Below are 9,366 nucleotides of genomic sequence, written 5' to 3'. Positions count from 1 at the left end.
CAGGGTAGAAAGAGAGGTGAAAGATAGGAGGGCAGGCAAAGGTCAGAAAGAGACTTTGCTTCTGAGGCTGCATCTGAGGCCTTCCCATCTCTAGTTCAAAGTACTTATCATGCCAAAGCATCATACTTTGGGGTATCATTCTCTGAGCTCCAACAGATATCTTTCATGTTTCTGTGATTTTTTTTAAAATGTTGCTTTTCCCCCAATTCTCTTGATTCTCTCATTTCGTATCTGCAATTAAATGGTTGTTAGAACACTCTAGTCCACAAGTTAGGCAAGCAAACCACAGCCCACTGGGAACCACCTGGTTTTGTAAACATTTGATTGGAACAGTCACACCCATTTAGACATTGTCTCTGGCTGCTTTCAGGCTACAACAATAGAGTTAAGTAATTGTGACAGAAATCATATGGCCCACAAACCTGAATTACTTATAATCCAGCTCTTTAAGAGAAACTTAGCTGACCCTTACTTCTACCTTTTATGTCTTTTACCTACTCTTTTATGTTTTTCTGTTTCCTTTCCTCTGCATTCTGAATCATGTTTTCCTCTCTTTCAATTTACTAATGTATTCAACTCTGTCTAATCTACTGTATAGTGAAACCATTAATTTGCTAAATGTAATTACATTTTTCTATAAATCCCATCTATGTCCTTATCAAATCTACTTGATAATTTTGTCTCTAGTTCTCTACCCATGTTTTTTATTCCTTCTCATTTTTTAAAATATATTAAGCTTACTTTTTCTGGATCCAACAATTCTAATATTTTCATACTGAGGTTTCTGGGGGTCTGTTTCTGCTACCTACTGTTTCTGCTTACTCATATTCATTGTGCCCTGTACCCTCATAAGTTTTGAGCTTTTATTTTATTATGAGGTTATATTTCTTACATCTCTATGGGGATAGTTTCCAGTCCTGCTTTGAGGATGCCTTCCTCTACAGAGGATTTGCATTCACTGCTGCAGTTACCTGGGATCATTGACGACCCAGATCTACTTTACATTAACATTCATTGCTTATAGTTTTTTAACAAAGAAAATTAGGGAAAGATCATCTATTCACAAAAAGATTGCTTTTCCTCCATCCATAGCGAAGGCCGAAATTTAAAAGTGGGATGGATATCTTTTCTAGTTCATCCTTTTCCGGAGACTATATTTCTTTCATGGTCTCACTTGTGTGAGGGGCTGGATCCTGCCTCCACGTCCTACACAGTGCAAGGCCTGGTCTCCTGTACCTGAGGGTGCTTCCATTAAACCACAGGTCCAGACCACCTGCCTCAAGAGAGGCCCCAAGTACAGCTGGCAGCTTCAGACCTACCTGTCCCATCTGGGCTGGTGCTTTTACTTTGTTCTGGCCTCAGAAATTTCCCCTACTGTCTGGCAAGTCCACCTACACAATTTGAAGAGTCGGCTTTTATTTTAATATTATATGTTATCCAGCAAAAAGCTGATTAGAGGCCGTGTAGCAGGTAACTTTCAGCATTTCAAGACTACAATATTGCTAGAAGCAGTAAACCAAGATTGATACGTTTAACAACTTTAAAATTAAAACTTCTATATTACAGATGACCCAATTCAGCAAGTGGAAGTAGAAAAAAAAAAGACTGGGAGATAATATTTTCAACACAAATAAACAACAAAGAATCTATATGCACATTATGTTAAAATCTTTTCTTTTTTGGGGGGAGGGGGACAGAGTCTTGCTGTGTTGCCCAGGCTGAAGTGCAGTGGTTACATCTTGGCTCACTGCAAACTCTGCCTCCCAGGCTCAAGCGATTCTCGTGCCTGAGCCTCCCAAGTAGCTGGAACCACAGGTGCACACCACCACGCCCGGCTAATTTTTGTATTTTTAGTAGAGGTGGGGTTTCACCATGTTGGCCAGGCTGGTCTTGAACTCCTGTCCTCAAGTAATCCACCTGCCTCACCCTCCCAAATTGTTGGGATTACAGGCATGAGCCACCCCACCCGGCTGTTAATAATTAATTTTTTAATGGTCAAATAATCTAATAGAAAATATGCTAATTTTATAGAACAAAATAAAGACAAAAAAATTATGAAAAGATGTGGAACTCAGTAGTAATCAGGGAAAAGTTAATACCCAAGACCAAGCAAGTTTTACCTATAGACACACTCTGCACACATGGACAAGAAAATAAGTATAATAATTTTTTTTATAATGTGAGTTGTAATACTAAAAAATTAAAAACAATTCATCTGTTCATCAGGAATTGAGTGATCCAACTCTAGTTTATACCTACGTGGAATGTTATACAATAGTTAATATAAATGAATTAGGTTTTTAGGTGTCAACCGGAATAAATCATCAAAATATATTGCTGAGTTAAAAAAAGGCAAGATACAAAATAATAGCTATAGTAAAATATTAGTTATTTAAATTTTAAGCACACTGTCAATGAAAAGAGTCAAACTCTGCAAAATATTTGAAGAGATGTATTCTGAGCCAAATATGATTGACCAATGTCCGGTAACACAGCGCAAGAAGAACATGTGCCCAGGATGAACATGTGCCCAATGTGGTTGGGGCACAGCCTAGTTTTATACATTTTAGGGAGACATGAGATATCAATAAAATACATTGGTTCCATCTGGAAAGGCAGGACACCTTGAAGCAGGGGCTTCCAGGTTATAGGTAGACTTAAAACTTTTCTGATTGGCAACTGGTTGAAAGAGTTAAATTATCTAAAGAGCTGGAATCAATAGAAAGGAAAGTGTGGGTTAAGATGAGGAGTTGTGAAGAGCAGAGTTTTATCATGCAAATGAAGCCTCCAGGTAACAGGCTTAGGAGAAAGTAGATCATAAGTATCTCCTACTATGACTTCTCGGCCTTTTGGCTAAGATCAAGTGTAAATATTTCCTAATGCTGACCAGCATTAACACCACTGACCAGCATTACCACCAACGCAGACCTATTAGATTTAAGATCTGTGTTGGTGTTAATGCTGATCAGCTTTTCCTGAATTCCAAAAGGGAGGAGAGTATAATGCGTCATGTCCAACCCCCCTTCCTGTCATGGTCCAAACCAACTTTGGAATGCCCTTAGCAGAGAGTAGGGGTCCATTTAGATGGTTGAGGGGACTTAGAGTTTTATTTTTGGTTTACAACATGAAACAACACTTTATATTTCTCATGGAATCATATGTATCTACGAAAATATAAAATCATACATGGGATAGATATCTTTTAATTTTTGATAAGTTGTCCTTCTAGCTAGGCAGGCAGGAAAAGAAAATAAAGAGTAGGGATTTAGATCAATTTGCAATTTTTTTATTTTTAAGAGAATAAAAATATAAACCAATACAGTAAAAGCAAATATAGTAAAATACTAATAACTTTTAAGTTTAGTGGTAAATATAAATATGTCAGCATTATTTTCTGTGAACTTATTTATTTATTATTTATTTTTGCAATGTAGTCTCACTCTGTTGCCCAGGCTGGAGTGCAGTGGCATGATCTCGGCTCACTGAAACCTCCGTCTCCTGGGTTCAAGCGATTCTCCTGCCTCAACTTCCCGAGTAGCCGGGATTACAGGGGCCCTCCACTACACCCAGGTAATTTATTTTTAGTACACCATGTTGGCCAGGCTGGTCTCGAACTCCTGACCTCAAGTGATGCACCCGCCTCGGCCTCCCAAAGTGCTGGGATGACAGGCGTGAGCCACTATGCCCGGCCTATTTTCTATGAACTTCTAAATGTCTAAAACACTCTACAATTATTTTTTTAAAGAAGAACAAAAGCAATGAAGGTGAAAATGGCCTAATTTTTCTGAAGAGAACACTTGATTTGAAATATATATGTATTTTTAAATAAATATAATATAAATGTATAAATATGTTACTGCCACAAAAAAATTTAATCAGGATTACAGAATACGTAGTAGTCTAGAAACTGGTTCAAGTTTTGATTGAATTGTAAATTTCATAAGAACAGAGTGAATAAATATTCTTAAACTATGTTAGTCTAAGAAATATAGTATTTCAATTCTATGAAAGTGTTCAATGAAGTGTTGACCAAATAGGATTGAAATAATGGGATATCTATCTGACAGAAAAAAAAAGATATTCTTTGTTAAACCCCATATACAATAAAAATCTAAAATGAATAAAGATGTAAAAGTAAAGTGAAACTACGAATGCATTTCTTAACATTGACAAAGACTAATGCTGGCTATATGAGTTAAAAGGGCACAAATTAAAATTACTGGAGTGGCCAGGTGCAGTGGCTCACACCTATAATCCCAGCACTTTGGGAGGCTGAGGTGGACAGATCACCACGTAAAAGCCAATTGACATCTGTGACGCATCCCACAGAAACTGGCCCAATTGTCCCATAGAACTGATGCTTATAATTTCTTTTGAATAAACATAGAAATTGACCCTCCCGGTCTTAAAGCTTGAGAAAGTTCAATTGTCTTATCTGAGTTTCTTTCTCAGAAACCAATCATCAGGCCTCCCAGATAGTATCAAAGACCTGAAACTTATCAAATGACCACACCTGGACAATGAGAGGCCAGACCCCCTTCATCCACCATGATTGCCTAACCTACCACCTGCTTCCTATTGACCAACTCCACTTCCTTACCCCTCCCTAATTCCTGTTTTCCTGTAGGTAGTTACATTTCTTCCCTGCTGTATAAACCCCTGCTATTAGTTGGTCAGGGAGATGGATTTAAGAGTGATCTCCCATCTCCCCAATTAAAGCCTTCTCCCTGGCAATACTCATTGTCTCAGTGATTGGCTTTCTGTGAGGTGAGCCGCAGGACCTAGACTGAACCCCTGGTGTTTTCATAACACTGTCATTGAGGTTCTTCTCTTCATTCCAATTCCCTTGGTTTCTTTTTCTCCTCCATTATATTTCCTCTGAACTTTACTGCAACTTAAAATATTTCTGTGCACACATACACAGTTGAAGGTAAATGTAAGAAACCCTTGGTAAGACAATGTGGTTATTAACATATTTATTCCACACACAATCTTATATTCTACCTTCTACGACCTTCTTAGACCATCACAAGAGCCCTAGTGCACTCTTCACTCCTAATCAGTTGTCTATCATGTACTTTAGAGAAAATATTTAAGTTCTAAATAAAAAATGCTCTCCCAAAGCTATTTGCTTATTCAACCTCTTTTCCTGGGGAATTCTATCCAATCAGGTCTTGTATAGTCTCTCAAGGTAAGACCTGAAGCTGCTTTAAGATCTAGATTTGAAAAAACAAAAATGAGCCCCAGGAACCTCATTACCCACAGAGTCTGCAGCTGCAGGAGAAGCTGGGACCAGCTAGGCTAAGGCAGAGCTACCCGCAGCTGTTAGAGGGCTATTCCCAAGAGTTTCTAGGGTTGAAGTTTCTTGCTGCCAAGTTCTCAGGATGTGACTACTCTACTGCCAGAACACAGATCAACCCAGAACATCCTCTCCCACCAATTTTCACTCCTATCCACTTCCCCCAAACCAGACACACTTTCCTTCTTGTAATTTCTATATTCTTTCTTAATGGTTTCTCCAGTTTTCAAGGTAAGGCTTACTTTTTTCCTTCTTTCAACTTTTTTTCTAAGTATAACATTAATGCTAGGGGCCAGGCACGGTGGCTCACATCTGTAACACCAGCACTTTGGGAGGCCAAGGCAGTTGGATCACCTGAGGTCACGAGTTCCAGACCAGCCTGGCCAACGTGGTGAAACCCCGTCTCTACTAGAAATACAAAAATTAGCTGGGCATGATGGTGGGCACCAGCTATTCGGGAGGCTGAGGCAGGAGAATTGCTTGAACCCGGGAGGTGGATGTTGCAGTAAGCCGAGATCCTGCCATTGCACTCCAGCCTGAGTGACAAGAGCAAAATTCTGTCTCAAAAAAATAAAAAATAAAAATAAAAATAATGCAAGATTGTAATAGAAATAATTGCAAAATTGAAAAGGTATATAAAAGCCCTCTCACCTAGAAACAACTGATTTTAATTTTTTACTGAGTGATTCCTTTTAGGTTCAACTTCACTGGGAAGTCAATACCAATAAGTATGTGACTGAATTGGATGGCCAATAATGACTTTGTATCCTATGAGTATAGCCCTATAGGGAGGCACTGCAACAACAGGTATGACAGACATATTTTAGAGAGAGCTCTGGAAGGCTCCAGGAAACTGGATTTTATCCAGGCTAAGCCCCTAAATCACTGTACAACATTGACTAAAATACTCCCAGTAGTCTCATCTGTATAATGAGGAGGTTAGGCTTGAATAACTTTAGATTTATTTCTACCTCGCATTGTTATTTATTTTTTGTTGCCACATCCCAATTTGCATTTGCATATACCCTACATTTGTGTTTTGTTGTGATTATTTGTATCTGTGCCCCTTTATTAGATTAAGTTAGTAAATTAGTCTTATTTTTTGCATCTGCTCAAACACATTGTATAACATATAATAGGTGCACAATAAAGGGAGAAGGGATGAAGCAAAGGGTGACTTTTGTGATTACTGAAAACAGTTTTTACCCTGTTTTTGTTTTTTATTTAAAACAAAAATTCTTACAGGCAAGAGCTTTTAGAAAATAAAATGTTTTCTAGCAAATTTTACTAGAGTCTAGACCTTTGAATAATTGGCTCACCAGATAAAACTTAATAAAAACAAACAGGCATTTAAAGAAAAAGAATTGACTGTAGTTGTGCAGTTTACAGTTAATATGTTTATAGTGAAAAATGCGCAGTTTTCTCAAGGAATTGTTATACACACAGAAGTCATCACATACCTTTACACATAAGCATTACAAAGGTCAGAAACAAAATTGTTTTTATTAGGGAGTCAGTAATTTATAGGAATCGCTGAGGTTCCATTTATTTTAGAGACTAGAACTAGATGGAACAACCTTGTTTGTTTGAGTGGGGAAGTGTTTATTTATCTCAGGGTACAAGGAGATGGTGGTGTTGTCCTTGTTTTTGCTGCTGCTACTGTTGTTTTGCCTTTGATTTTGACCATGAAAGGCAATGTGCACATTCACCCATAATTTAACAAGAGAAGGTGGCAGTGTCATTCCCACAGCTCTAAAAAAGCATAAAATCAAAAAGGGTTAAATGAGCCAGAACAGGTGTAGAAGTCAGGTTTTCCCCATAAAGTTATAACAGGACCAACTTTTAGTAAAGATAGATTTCCCAGATCATTCTAATTTCATTTTCTATGTAAAAAATGGTTGAAAATATGAGGCAGAAAGAAAACCCTTCTGCCATATCAATCATTTTACTCTCTAATTTGTTTGTTTGAAAATTAGAAATTTTGGTTGTGTGCGGTGGCTAACGCCTATAATTCCAGCACTTTGGGATGCCGAGGCGGGAGGATCACCTGAGGTCAGGAGTTCAAGACCAGCCAGGCCAACATGGTGAAACCTGTCTCTCCTAAAAATACAAAAATTAACCTGGCATTGTGGCATATGCCTGCAATCCCAGCTACTTGGGAAGCTGAGGCAGGAGAATCACTTGAACTCGGGAGGCAGAGGTTGCAGTGAGCTGAGACTGCACCACTGCCCTCCAGCCTGGGTGACAGAGCAAGGCTCCCTCTCAAAAAAAAGAAAAAAACTAGAAATTAAATGTTAGGATAATAATATTAAGTATTCTGTGGAATAATGTAAAAGTTTGCCCCACTGGGAAGGGCATAAGAAAAACTGGGTGTGAGGGAGGAACAGAGAAGTTAGTCATTGCTACAGTAAGATTTTTCCTTACTCATGCACATTTCCACCCCTTCACATCCCCAGATGGTCTTGCCTAGTTTATTTTTTTCTTATTTTATTGACTTTATTTTATTATTTTTAAAGACAACTCCGAATGCTTAACCTGAACTAACTTTGTGTGTCCTGTGGAAATTAGGCTCTTTGGAAATACCTTGAGGCCTGGGAAGGATGGTAGATTCAGATGTTTATTTTCCTGAAAGCTCTCTGGTAGGATTATAAAAGGGGCTTAAGTTCCTGTGCAGCAGATTTTTACTGAACCAAAGAATGATTGCTTTTAGAGCCCATTACCATAGCCCTCTGTTGGTCCAGGGCTGCAACCACGTGGGATACTTGGGTTAAAAGATCTGTGTATCTATGTCTTCAGTCATGAAGACTAATGTGCAAATAGCTTAGCTGGAAAATGTTTGTGAAGAAAATGAATATTGAGTAGACTCTGCAGGGAGGAGTGAAGCATGGCTTGATAAAGAGGAAGAACATTTCAAGCAGGGTGTATATGATGTACCGTAGCTAAACAATGAAGTAAAAATAAATTTTTTATGTGTAGGAAATTTTATATTAATAATGTTTAAACATTGCCCCTGAGGCTAAGAAAAACGAAAGAAGTTTATCTGTATGGAAAACCAAAATATGCCACCCAAAATATGCTTCTTTGGCCTATTCAGAGAAGCTGCAGACATACAAATAGCTCCAAACAGCTGTGCTTTCCTGGGGAAGATTTGCATCTGTAGAGAAAAGCTACATTAGTGACGAAAACAACAGATGCAAATGAGCTTTCTCTGAGACTCCATTATCTGCCTTATCCTGATCTAGAAAAGATTAGCTCATAGGAAAAGGAGACTGAGATCTGATACTTTCAAAAGTCTGACAGAGAAACTTTCACCACAGGCTACCAGCTAATCTTTCTGAGAGCAGTTACCTGTGAGGATTCATCTGCATAACAAGATAGCCTTTGCTCACCATGCATTTCCTCCCCAGGCCCTCATATAGTCTGTCACAACCTCCCACCAGGAGCTTCAAACCTTTATTCCTTTCTGTATGGTATAAAAACTTCTGACATCTGGCCCTTTTTTGAGTCTCATGTTTCGTGTGGCTCCAATGCATACCTGCTTTTTCTCTTGTTGATCTGCCTATTTGTTTTACATACTCAAATTATCAAAACTTCAGAGGAAAAGTTTGAACTTCCCTACACCTGCTTACATCTTGATTCTCTAGCAAGCAAGAGCCAAATCCCAGTTTACTTACATATCTAATAAAATATTGCATCAAAAATAGTGTATCTGGGAGTAGTTCCTCAAAAATTTCCCCCCATTTTTAAAACGATTTGAAGTTTATGTTTCTATCACTTTTGGGTCCATTTTATGTTCCTGGTTTTCTCTCCACTGTCATCAATTCCACTTGCCTATTTTTCTTAGCAAACAGATAATATCCTCATTAATATGTTTGATCAGAACAACTTTAAGTGTTTCCCTACCTACTTGGATGTTTGCATTTCAAAAGTGAACTACAGAAGACTCAGAATAATCCAAGGCCAAACATAATCACTTAAGAATGGTGCATTTTCAAGTACATAACACAGGTGGAAGTGGGATAATTTTGGACAAGAGATGATATGGTTTGGCTGTGAACCCACCCAAA

Source organism: Homo sapiens, chromosome 11, assembly GCF_000001405.40.
Source record: "Homo sapiens chromosome 11, GRCh38.p14 Primary Assembly".
In the NCBI taxonomy this organism is placed as follows: Eukaryota; Metazoa; Chordata; class Mammalia; order Primates; family Hominidae; genus Homo; species Homo sapiens.
This window is presented reverse-complemented; position numbering follows the sequence as displayed.